The 13,552-nt window shown below is 39.0% G+C and overlaps 1 protein-coding gene across 31 annotated transcripts in view; it reads right to left on the bottom strand.

Moving 5' to 3' along the window:
* The window catches only part of TENM3 (teneurin transmembrane protein 3), a 1,355,412-nt gene that overhangs the window by 43,723 nt on the left and 1,298,137 nt on the right, over positions 1-13,552 (bottom strand). For 22 of the 31 annotated variants that reach the window (XM_017008385.2, XM_017008390.2, XM_017008394.2 and 19 more), the window contains 3 exons: positions 7,270-7,502; positions 5,698-5,852; positions 4,043-4,917 (listed from right to left, as the gene is read on the bottom strand). In XM_017008385.2, coding sequence (XP_016863874.1) covers positions 4,043-4,917; positions 5,698-5,852; positions 7,270-7,502 — 1,263 coding nt within the window. The remainder of the gene's footprint in view (positions 1-4,042; positions 4,918-5,697; positions 5,853-7,269; positions 7,503-13,552) is intronic. The other 9 variants (XM_017008389.2, XM_017008391.2, XM_047415937.1 and 6 more) reach the window with 1 other exon arrangement.

The raw sequence follows: 13,552 nt of genomic DNA, 5'->3' as shown, positions 1-13,552 counted from the left end.
CTATTTCTTCATTCAACAAATAGCTGTTGGGAGAGTTCTATACCCACAGCAACATTCCAGGAGTGGTGGGAGCCACAAAGATAATGGGAGTTTGCATTTTATGAAATACTTTTACATTTCATTTTGTACTTATACCAATACTGTGACATGTTAATGGTACACTCAAGTTTGTACCAAGAAAAACATGTAAGGTAAGTAATTGCAACTAATTCTCTTTTAAAATTTCTTTGGAAGGAACTATGACAAGTGTATTTTTATCAGTAGGCAAATTTATTGATTCCAGATCTTCTTCCATCTGTTTCTATCCTACAAAAGCTTTAATCTCAAGGCTTTTTAGACACCAGGATAGTCAGAAAGCTGGCCATACACAAATGGGAATTTGAGCTGAAAAGTTTAACTTTTCTGTGCGAGGTATTTGTGCAGGAAGATGATTATAGAGCCTGTTATCAGAGCTCAAGGGACTGGTGTCATGGAAGTCACAGAAAGCAGGTGTTTTTCAGTGGGGGATGGCAATTTTTTTTCACAATCTCGTTGTGGTTTTGGTGACACTCTGGCCATTGTCAAACCTGTCAAATCCCTTCTTTGTGAACTTACAGGCTGCCCTTTGTAAGGTCTAAAGTAGACACATAGACACATGGTACTCTAAAAATGAAGGGAAATATTACAGACACGTACTAATATTCTGGGAGTCGGCCAGTTCACCAATAACTACAAAAACAAAGGCATTCCGACGGGGATTCAGAAGCCCCCCGCTGCCTCTATTAGGATGCTCACATCCCGCCGCACACCCAGGTCGGGAGACAAGCAGCAGAAACTCTGTTGTCAAGGCTCTGATGAGTAGCGACAGGGGTTGAGTTTGCCCATTAACCATCTCAAACTTACACAGACAATACGTGCTGCTGTGTCTGAACACAGACAGTGCTTCTGGAGGGGCGGCCTGATAATGACACCTCCCCCCACCCTTTTCTTTTTGTGCATTTCCTTTTGAATGTGTTTTAAAGTTTCTGACCCTTAGAAGAGGCGGCCTTTGCTCTTTCACAGCCAAATTACAAGAATGTATGGGAAGAAAAAAAATGATCATTTGTCATTCTGACACGATGATTCTGAATTCCTTGGGTTAAGTGCTCTTCTTTAACACATTATTTTGCAAAATGCATAAAGGTTTCTTAGACATTTTTTAGTCGTCTTTGCTGTAGCCAGCTTATGAGGAAAATTAACAAAACGCTGGTTTTTAAAAGCAGTCTTTCTGCTAATTTTATTAGAAAAGTCATTTTTAAACACTGGTTTGTTAAACTATGATATTCTTTTATATATATGGATATATATAAAATTGTGAGGGTGATATTTTGTAAGATATTTTAATAATGCTTTTTGGAATAGTGTAGTTGCCCTTACAGCAATTTATCTAGTTATAAGATTTAATAGATATACTTTAAATATGACATGTAATAAGTATTGGTGAAAATGTGATTTTGCTGTATTTTAATTAATTAAAATCTTTCATTCTTTAAAATAATGTTTTCCCATTATATACAAGATTGGCTTGCCAACCCAACCTCTACTTCAGCCAGTCTGCCGATTCCTAAGTCTGAAATTCTTGGAGGTTATTTGTTACTAGAGAAATATATCTTCTTTTTTGCACTATCATTTCTTTAAAAGGTAAAAAATCCAAATTGGTTTATACTATCCCACATCAGCTCCACCAGTGAAATTTCTCTAATTTTCCAAACTTGATTAAAATGCATTTGTAGGCCATAAGCAAACCACTGTATCTGCTGTAGGAAGTTCAAGTGTCAGCACTAATCCATACAATGAACTCCTGGGAACGAGTAAGGACATATTCAAAAATGGCCCGGAGAGCAGGGCTTGAGTACCAGACTATACTAAAAACTTATTTCTCTATGTTTCCCCCACTTTCAACTAAACTGAAACCCTACCAATGCCGCCACCATCTCCTGAAGATCTTTTTTTTTTTTTTTTTTTTTTTTTTGAGACGGAGTCTCACTCTGTCACCCAGGCTGGAGTGCAGTGGCACCATCTCAGCTCACTGCAACCTCCACCTCCCGGGTTCATGCCATTCTTCTGCCTCAGCCTCCCAACTAGCTGGCACTATAGGCACCTGCCACCACGCCTGGCGAATTTTTTGTATTTTTAGTAGAGACAGGGTTTCACCGTGTTAGCCAGGATGGTCTTGATCTCCTGACCTCGTGATCCGCCTGCCTCGGCCTCCCAAAGTGCTGGGATTACAGGTGTGAGCCACCGCGCCCGGCCTCCTGAAGATCTTAGAATCAGAGCAGCTCTCCTGCCCAGTCTCATCTGATGGCAGCACTTTTCTTGTGCTCTTTTTTGCTTCGTTGGCAATCTAGCCTGCGATCACTTTGAAAACAGTGCAAAGGAAGTGCTTTCCATTAACTTCCAATTTATTCCTTTCCTATTGCGATACTAAAATGAGCAAAAGGAATGCTAAGAACAGAATTTTAATGTAATTCAATTGAAAAGGTTTGTTCCTCTGACAAAATCATGCTGCTGGCTAACATTCATTTTATTAAAAGGGAATCTGTCAAAAAAGAAAAGCAATTCAAGCTACAGGAGAACTAAGCTTTATGTATAAGACACATTCCAGAAAAGCTATACAGAAAATATTTGTATATTGAGTCATTTTTTCTACTGACTTTTATGATAATTTCAGAGGTGTGCTCCTACAGAAAGAAGTACCTTTGCTTCACCGTATCATTGTGAAAACCACACTAAGGAACTCAGGATTCATTTCAAAGACTATTTTGCGTTTGTCAACATGCCATCTCTGCATATCTCATTTCCCCTCATGGCTTGTACAACCGAGTCAAGTGAACAAGCAATTGAGAATGCATTTATACATGCCCTAACATACTCAACAGCTGATTCTCCTTTCATTCTCAGTGACTCCCAAGATGTGACTGTTCAGACAGCACAGTGCCCGGGCCACCACTCCATGCTATCTCTTGGAACACCCTGGCTGAATGAGCCTCCTACCTCTTCACATGCTTTCAGGCAACAAACTGCAATTCCTGACTTGCATTTAGTTGTAAGGTTCTTTGAGGCACAGTGTAGCTTCTCTGGTAACGATTACAAAAACTTAAGCCCTTCTACGTAATCAGCAAAGTTCACTGTAAATGTTTTTGAAGTTTTTCTTCAATGCAAGTTCCTGAGACAGTCAGCTTTATCAGGTGGGCAAACCTAGAGCCAAAGGCTTTATGCCCCAAACCACAGCTGCGGGATGCTTCTCAGAAGGTTTGCTAAGATGCTAGGTCTATTGGAAGCAAGATGTTAATCCTTAAGTACAGGTAAATTTACCATGAAGCCAACTGAAACTTAAGCTTTGGGCTTCTCCCTTACACGAGTCCCTTCCCTTTCCAAGGCCCTACATCTTGTATCTTGCAATTTTGTCTTCTTTCTCAGAAAGAGGTATCTTTTTTTTTTTGAGGCGGAGTCTCGCTCTGTCGCCCAGAGACTGGAGTGCAGTGGCGCGATCTCGGCTCACTGCAAGCTGCGCCTCCCGGGTTCACGCCATTCTCCTGCCTCAGCCTCCCGAGTAGCTGGGACTACAGGCGCCCGCCACCACGCCCGGCTATTTTTTTTGTATTTTTAGTAGAGACGGGGGTTTCACCGTGTTATCCAGGATGGTCTCGATCTTCTGACCTCGTGATCCGCCCGCCTCGGCCTCCCAAAGTGCTGGGATTACAGGCGTGAGCCACTGCGCCCGGCCATTTTTTTTTCTTTAGAGATACGTTCTGGCTCTGTCACTCAGCCTGGAGTGCAGTGGCACAATCATAGCTCACTGTGGCCTCGAAGTCCTGGGCTCAAGCAATCCTCCCGTCTCAGCCTCCCCAGGAGCTGAGACTACGGGAATGAGCCACCGTGCCCAGCCGGGATCCAAAAATTACAGAAGCTCTAGACTCTCAAAAACATGGAATCCTCCAGCTCTTAAGATTATATTGTTATTATAGATGATATTATTATATCACAGTATTTTATAATCAGAGTAGAATTTTCATATACTTACTCAAAAAACGTTGTCCATCCAGTTTCATCACTTTTAGTGGCTAAAAGGCCACTATTGCCATGGTAAGTAAACAAAACTAATTCCAGTCCTTGAGCAGTCATGCTTTTCAAACATCCATTTGTTCCTATTGTCAACCATATCACTTGGTTATCAGGAGACACCACTCGAACTGGCATGCGATTTGGGTCCCGTCTAATTCTAAGGGTGTTGCCATTGCTGTCTGTCACAGCAGTAATATCATTGTCATTGCTGTAGCTAAAATTGTAAAGGTAATCACCAGTGACTAAACTTACAGTATATTGGTGAGTACCATTGATGTCAAAGATGTAGAGTTCTTGATCAGTTGGAGACGCAACTTCATAGAAGTTCATAGAGTTAAGTAAAGGCTTATTCTTTGACACAGCCCGGATCCGGATATTCCCTAGATCTGCAATATACAGTGTACCATCTGGAGAAGCAGCCAGGGAGGATGGGGCACTGAGTTTGGCATCCTTGGCGTAGCCATCTCCACTCTGGTAACAGTCACAGTTGGCATCATTTTTGCAGTCACACTCTGAAGGTATTCCGGCCACTAAGGAGATTTCTCCATCTGTTGTGACCTGCCTTATCCGGTTAATTTTCTTCTCATCAGTTTCAGTAATGTACAGGACCCCACTGTAGGACACAGCAATGGCAGTGGCTGATTCCAGTGTTGTCTGCACCGCGTGCTTCCCCACAGGATATTCCACTCCGGGAACCTGACAGTGCATGGGCCGTCCAGCAGCAATGCGAACTTGACGATTTTCAGTGATCTGTAAAACTACATTATTATCCAGGACATAAATGGAGTTATCCATAGGGTTAATGGCTAGGTCAGTGGGCCATTCCAGACGTACCTTAATAAAAAAAGAAATGGCCTGGTTAGTAAGTTACTGCACTACAGTTAATTCGCCAGAAGAGTAAATTAGACCATTCAGGGAAATTGGCATTAATCTGAGATAAACTGTCTGATAATAGTTTTTTCAATAGCCTCAGTAAAATAAACCAAAAAGTAATGAATGAAGATAGATACAGGAAATAACACTTTATTTTAAAATTCAGCTCACAGAAAGATTTGCTAGTTACAGGCAAATAGCAAATAGGCCTCTACGTAGTGAGTCAACAGATATCGATGAGCTATGAACACACATGTTCCTTATGGCAGCAATAACCACCAAATGTTGGGGCTTTCTAGGTTATGAATAGATTAGTATTCTATTGTGTTTTCAATCAGGCCAACAGTAAAGTTTCTATTTCTAAATATAAGTCCCTTGGCACTAATCATAGTGGGTTCTCTCTACTACTTAAGGAGCTCATGCAATCAAAAGATTAGAGATTTCAGTTGTTTGGTTCTTTTTAGAATACCTGCATGCTCCTACTTTACTGGTATTTTATTACAAATGCTTAGCATTTCTTAGTGATAATTGTTCTGTATCTCACTGAATTCATCAAATGTAGAATTATAGAAGAAAATAACTTTTTATTAGCTCCTGTGATACATGTAAATGGAACTGCCCTATCAGAACCACTGCAACACATGATATATGCAGTTTAATATGGTGCCATCATAGTCTACCGACTGAATAAGTCAAGTCACCTAGAGGAAAAACAAACAAGTCCGCTTAGTATTTAACTACCTGGCTGATGTGCATGCTGGTGTCACAAGTTAAAGGTCTGGCTGAAGTCAAATCGTTAGAGCCCAGAAGAGTTGATATGATTCCATTTTGGTCAACTTTCCTAATCATGGTTCCATCAACAAAGTAGATTAATCCATTCTTATCAACTGCCATTCCTGTATTTGAGAGAAGCAAGTATTACTAATTTTTCAAAAATGGTTACTTTTGATTAACTATTAGGCCCATTATTAAACTCAGTTATTTAACCCCAGTGACAACACGGGTGACAGGTAGCAGGTAGGACTGCAGATTGCAAACACGTTAGAAAAAACCAACACAGGCATTTATAATACAAATAAATTAAAAATTCAGTAAGGAGGCAGGGCATGGTGGCTCACGCCTGCAATCCTAGCACTTTGCGAGGCCGAGGCAGGCGGACTGCCTGAGCTCAGGAGTTCGAGACCAGCCTGGGCAACACGGTGAAACCCTGTCTCTACTAAAAAACACACAAAAAAACTGGGTGTGGCAGTGTGAGCCTGTAGTCCCAGCTATTCGGGAGGCTGAGGCAGAAGAATGGCTTGAACCCGGGAGGCGGAGGTTGCAGTGAGCCGAGATCGCACCATTGCTCTCCAGCCTGGGCGACAGAGTGAGACTCCGTCTCAAAAAAAAAAAAAAAAAAAAAATTCAGTAAGGAAATAATCCAATTTTGTCAGAATCTCCTGTGAGTATATGTATCACACAGGTAATACCTGAATGTTTCAAATATAAATTACAATGATTATATAATGTTGTGGTCTATAAATTACAGAACCAGTTTCAAATTCCATTCCAGCTCCCTTACAGTAACCATATCCTTCTAACAAAAATAGATCTAAGCCAAGGTTAGTGTTTTGTTGACCCCGTTACAATGAAATTTTCTATTATGAATAATTCAGTACAGATACTTTTTTCCAGTCCTTGTTCACATAATAGTCAGCAGCTACCATGAAAAAAATAAAGGCCCCAAACCAAAAACATTGTATTCAGTGCCATAATACATGAGCAGGGAATCATTCCTGCCTGGTTTAAAAGCCTTTATCACGTAGAATTTTTTTAGCCCTGTTACCTCCCAAAATTCCTCTCAGCAAGGATTTTTTCCCATGGCATAGAAACAAAAGTTTCACAGCTCTCCAAAGAGGGTGAGGGCTCACAGGGTTGCTTAGTGATGGGTTTTAAAGAAGCCTGGGACTCATTCATGACAAAGAAATTCCAGGACTATGAAAGAATTTGGATACTTCCTTGAAGTTGAACAGGATGTGGCCTGAATTATATAGAGTAGTTAGTTGCTTCATTCTTTGAAGAGCTGATAAAATGGTATGATAATAAAAAATGCCAAGAACCTAGTATTTACTGTAAAACCAAGTTAGGATGCTAGCAGTTTCATGCTACATGGCTTTTAAAAACCCTAGATGTGAAACAGCTTTCCAGAACACTGTCAAAGGTAAAAAGTTAGACTCAGCATTAAACATGACTAGGCACTAAATGGATTTTCAACCCCTTTTTTTTTTTTTTTAATAAATAAAAAGAAATCCTCAAATCGCCAACTGCCGGTACCTTTGGGACTCATGAGTGTGGCTTCCACGGCCTTCCCTCCATCCCCACATCTCGCCTCGTCAAACGGAAGGCATTGCTCCCCTGTCCCTGCGACGACTTCTGCATTTTTAGTCAAGTCTTTTGCCCCCGTAAGTGACTTTGGGCGATAAATTCTGCGGGTGTTTGTGTCAGAAACGTACAGATCTCCCGTGACTGGATCCGTTGCAAGGTAGTATCTATGAGCTGGGTTGCTGCTGTGAAAAGGATCATAGATAAACATCAAAGGGAGTTACTCCTAATACACAGAGGGAAATTAAAAGCAAAATAAAACAGATCATGAGAAACTGATTATAGTCTGGAATCCATGATCAAAGATTAGACATGAATAGTACTGTCTATTTAATAATGACTCAAAAGAATGTGCTCACAGGTAGCATTTCTCTGATATTACTGTTTGCCTTCCTTGCCTGACGCTGAGGATTCAACAATTTACTAACAGTCATCTTAAAAAATATTACCTTTAAAAGGCAGTATGTGTCTACCCTAAAACAAAGAAGCAAATTGTCTAAATCTTTTGTGCTCAATGCAAAGCCATTAAAAAACTGCCCCTGAATGAGGGACATAAAGTTTATTCCAGGGGAAGCATGTCTCCATCAAATTCTCCAGTGAAGTACAATATACTACTGATTCCGCTCATACCTCACCATAGGGTATTATCCTTTCAAACTAAAAACCCTCCCCCTGAAGAAATGTACCACTGTATCTGTCTTGGTTGCTCTATCATAATCCAGAAAAGTGCCAGTGTCTGTCCTATGGGGTTAAATATTAAAATGAGGTCATTCAAGTCTACGGGGGAGTCTTAGTTGGTGGCCTGTGGCAGTGAGCTAGGATGCTGGATCCTTCAGTTTTCTTTCCAAAGTTTGTATACTGAGCTGCTCTGAAACCTGTCTATGAATGTAGTGACATACAAAATGTAGTGCCTCAGTTTTATAAATATAAAGAAATGCAAATGTAAAACATTTTATGTCCCATTACTTGTAAAAAATGGTAAGCCCAACACTGTTAAGGAGGGGACAAATTATGACGTATCATTGGAATTAAAAAGTTAATATCCTTACAGACACTCAATGCCACATTCTTAAAATTAATGTAATCTTGTACATGTGCAAAGATTGTCTTCTGAACAAAAACCTGAAAAATAATTTAAATGATTTGGTGTCCCAACCAAGACGTCAACATGATGGGAATCTATCAAACTCCATGTATCTTTTGATGACGAACTTAGTTATATTAATTAATTCTCATTCCCTCTCTTCCTCTCCCTCTTTCCACATACAGCCACGAACACACACACACACACAGTTACATGCTTGTTTCCATTTATTTTATTTGTGAACATCTAAAATATTTATAATAAATCTACCTATATGAATATTTTTATTCTAATAGTGATGCAGTAGTCTCCTCATTACCAATGAGGTTAGGTTCTAATAAAACAATTTTCACTACTTGATGATTTTCCGTCTAAGTGCTGAATAGCTGTACTTTATCATTCCTGTAAGAGATTCTATTCTTAAAATTGTTTAAGTGTTTCTCATGTTGTTAGAGGAGGCCAGCAGATCACACATGGAGTCTGTAGAGGCCTTGTGGAGCTCTGAAGAGCTCTTAGGCTGTGATGTTAGTATACAGAGAAATACAAAGACATACAAAGGCTTGAGCTTTGTATGTCCTTCAGCTTTGGGATCTCCTTTCCAGCCTTTGAGTGACAAAAGACAGACTAGGGCAAGACATCTTAGAGTGTGTAAATGTGTGTGAAATGGTAAAAAGTAAGATGAACTCAGAAAGATGCAAGTCATTGTGCAAGAAAAACATTTCAGAACAACTGGGTTATGCCAAGTGATCAACTTGCTGTGCTAAGTGTTATGATATCATTTTCCTAAGCTGATGCCTACAATCTTAATGCAGCAACACATATTGCATCCCTTAATGTGGCAGCTTATTACTTTGTAAGAAGTGAAGAGTTACAAATCAATATAACATTCAGAGCAATTTTAGAGGTTTTTTTTTTTTCCTTTCTATAAACAGTCTAATGTTGACACAGCTGGTCTTTCAGGTATATATAATTGGTGACAGAGTTGCAACTCCACCAAGCTGAGTCTACTTTGAAAGACATGACATTGGAGAGGCCCCTCTAGTCTTTCCTACCTCCCTGATTATACAGTTAACTGTGACTAGCTGTGTACATGGTATGCATACACTCATGTGTATACATAACACACATACTTTTTTTTCTTCTCAGTTGTACATCTTTTGAGTATGAACTCTGTACCCGATTGCCTGGGTTTAAGTCCTAACTTCATTACTAACACTAAATGTATGATCTGGGCATGCTGCCTAACTTATCTGTGCCTCAGGTTCCTTACCTGTAAAGGTGGTGATAATAATACATATTTCACAGGATGCTGGGAGGATTACACGAACTATATATGTAAGATCCTTAGAACAGGGCCTAGCGCATACTACATACTCACTAAGAATTAACCGTCCTTATACTCGCTTTTGTCCTGTCTCTTCCTACAGTGCAATGTCTTTTGCCTTATAACCTTAGAAAGTGCAGGAATACAATAATTAACTAAAGTATGAGTTGTTTCTGAAAATATTAAAAGAAAAAAACTGATTAGGTTTAAACTTGGTTTAGGTTTAGGTTTGTTAAACCTAAACTTGGTTAGGTTTAAATTTGTTTTTTTACTTCTGCTGTTATAACAGCAGTTTATAATATCCTAAACTATTAAAATAATGAAGACTCAATATACCCACTTTAAATTGTTTAGAGAGTAATGATGAACAATGATGATTCATTCATGGTAAATGAATCATGCACACTTCCTCAGGATGCCCTCATTTTGAGAAAAAACAAACAAACAGATTATTGAGGTGGCAGCTTCAGTGGTGGTGGCATCCTCTTTAGCTATGGGACGTGAGTTTTCTTGGTGCAAAAACGAATGGACATTCAAGTGATAAGCTTTGCCTTTATTGTCATCAGTTTTATCCTAGTGGGGAAGTAAAGAGAGAATGCCCAAAGTGGTGCTTATATTTGCTTATTTCCTGTCCTGAAGCATCTCCTTCCTAGAAGACATAGAAATTTCTCCATCAAGCAACAAATGTCAATGGCTTTAAAAATGTCTGATAAATGAAAGCTGTACTTTTGGACACAACTCTATTGTCCAGAAGAACAAATGTGGGGGAGTCTACGTGGCCCTAGAGAAGAGAATTAGCCTCTGGAAATATTCCCACAGGATGGTAGGAAATGAGAACTTGACAAATTCCCAGCAGCGCAGGCTAGGATGGCAAATTAGAGCTGGTTGTTAGATGCTGGTCTCTCCTAAATGAAAAGAGGGATCAGCATGGAAGTACTAAAAGGAAAAAAAGTGAGTCTGGATATTTCTAGTTGACAGACTGGTGGCAGTGAAGCTCTGAATCATATGCCATAGGACTGGGATTCAAGGTCACCTAATTTGAGCATAGAGAGTTGACAGTGTGAGCTCGTGCTTGCTTTCCAACTTTCTGAAAAGCCAAAGCACTGAAGAGGCGGGTGTGTGGGTACAACGAGTGGTGAATTTTTAGGTCAGTAATCTATCTACTGTGAAAACGTGAGGCTACCACGACGGAACCGGCTGCAGCCAGCAGCTGGAGCACAGGGATTTTCAAAATGCTTGGTTTTGGGAAATCTCTGCTGAGCGGAAGCACAGCAGCATTCTCATGTGATTGGTTGAGATTTCACTATTTCAGAAAGGTTTGAAATATTACAATTTTGACTAATAGCAAAACCAAGGAAACTGAGATCAAGTTAAGAACCTTTAGTATATTACACCTTGATTCTTAACTCATCCTGAATTGCCTAGATCATCACAATTATCAAGACATCTTCTCTAGTCTCATTCAATTAGACACAGATCCAGTGGTAAGTGCAGGCTGGATTTGCTCATTTATTTTGTCATAATTCAACCTTCTTAGACTAGAGAAATATTCACAAAGAACAAGCCAGAGAACAGATATTATTAGCACTTCTATCTTCTGAGTTGGAAACTGTGTCACAGCCTTTAGAACACAAGACATTTGAAGAAGCATAACAAACTATATTCACATATAAAAGTAAAACAGCTTCTTTTATGGTAACCAAAAGACTGTTTAGAATATTGCAAGCAGGGACTTGGGGTGTGATATTTCCATGCCTGCTTGATTTTTAAATATTAAGTCAATAAGGGGTACTGAATAAAATTTTTATAATTTGGTATCTACACTTTAATGGATTCAAATTCACAGACTTATGATTGACACTTTCTTTGATCCTTTAATTGGTAATATAAAATTCACAAAGTTGATTTTTAGTTCTACATGTTTAAGTGCCCTTTGGCTGGTATTAGTTAATTAATGTAATTTTTAAATTTTGCAATGTGTGAGAATTGGAACAAGGATGAGGTAAAACTTACTACATATTAAAGGGGTTCCTTAGCAAACTAATACTATAAACATCAGAGAAGGAAATGTTTGGTACATCTAAAAGAAAGACATTTTTAAAGAATTGTAGCAGCTTCTATGTATGTAAAAAGTTTAATATGTTGATCAGTAACATTTATACCTATTCACTAAAGTATAGCTAAGAATTTTTATTTCAGGTAATATCCTGGTGGTGCTTATTAGTTTGATATAACAGAACACTCTCTGAATTTTAAAATAAGACAATGTGTTTTTATACTAATTTTTATTCAATATTTTTATTATTCCCCCATTAGTCCAACTAACGAGACTGTTTACAGTATATGAAATATAGAAGAGGATAAAAAGTTTGCATTTTTATATTTTAATCATTAACAACTGGCAATACCATTCCTTTTGTAGATTTAGACACACTTTTCCATTTCTTTTTCTTCCTATGACCTGTTCCTAAGCCTCTCATGACTCATGCTGCCCAAGAAAGCGAGGATAAGGAGCACGCCAGGAAGGATCTTATTAACCAGGAAAGGGAAGGTAACGATAGGCAGGTACACAGGAAGAAGCATCTGAAAAGAACTTTAATTTTTTAAGCTAAAAGAAGAAGTTCCAATGAACTAAAATATGTTGACTTTGCTAGGTCAATTTTATTACTTACTAAGCAAATGGAATCCCTATTTTATCAATGACATGATCATGTTTGATGATTTGGGCTCAAAGACCTTACACATTCTCTACATCTTCCTCTTTCTTATCACTTAGACAAATACTCTCCATTCTCTCCTTCCGTTTATTTTATCGTTTGGCTTTCTTCACTGCTAACCATCCTGTTTTAGGTATCTAGCATCTCAAGCTGCAACAGCTTTCTAATTGATCTGATGTTCAATCATTTTGAACTCTGACACCAAATTACTCTTCCTAAAAGGCCACTTTGAGTGTGCCACTTGTTCAGGATCCTAAAATGGGTCCCCACTGTCTCAGGTATCCTATAGGAGAGAATAATTCCTTAGAGCCCTCAAGGCCCCAAGCAATCTGACCCTCCCCTGCCTTTCTGCCTGTATCTCTCGTGATTACCACCATGAACCCCCTGTTCCATTCAGGTGGGTCTGATTACTCTCAGAACATGTCTTGCTCAGCTCTCCCCCAGTCTCCAGTAACTTTACTTGCTTTCTCTATTTCTTCATGACTGCCCTCTTTTCTTCTTGCTGTTCTATTTAAGCAGACTTCATTTTTAGACCTAGCTCAAATATCAGCCCTTCCAGAAAACGTTTCCTTACCGTAGTGCCATCTCCCAGTAATCTCTTCCTTTACAGAACTATTCTCACATTTGAAACCACGGACCACGGGTATGATTAAGTGTCAAAGAATGATACTGATAATGTTATTTAAGGTGTCACATATATACCTTGTCTCCTCTGCTAGATTGTGAGTTCTGAGAGGAGGTATTTTGTCTTATATTATTATTTTTCAAAGTGCCTAACACACGGTAAGTGATCAGTTAACGCTGATTGATTTCATGTAATTAAATATCCATATAAAACCCAAAAAGTGTACTCTTCATGCATGGCACATAAAGGAAATGCAGAAGCACAAATGTAGTTAGGATGATGGACAGAGGAGAAGGATTATGGAGGATCATGAGAGAGGGATTACAATAGTATCACTGCCAAACACCAGGAGTTAGTACAAAATGAATTTCTACTGTTAATAAAGACGTAACTCTAACCTCATAGATTTTTTTTTTTCCAGAGGGAGAGATTATGGCTTTAAATAACAGGTAAAATGATTGTGAAATAAGTCTTGCTTTTTGCAT

Source organism: Homo sapiens, chromosome 4 (genome assembly GCF_000001405.40).
Source record: "Homo sapiens chromosome 4, GRCh38.p14 Primary Assembly".
NCBI lineage: Eukaryota > Metazoa > Chordata > Mammalia > Primates > Hominidae > Homo > Homo sapiens.
This window is presented reverse-complemented; position numbering and strand designations above follow the sequence as displayed.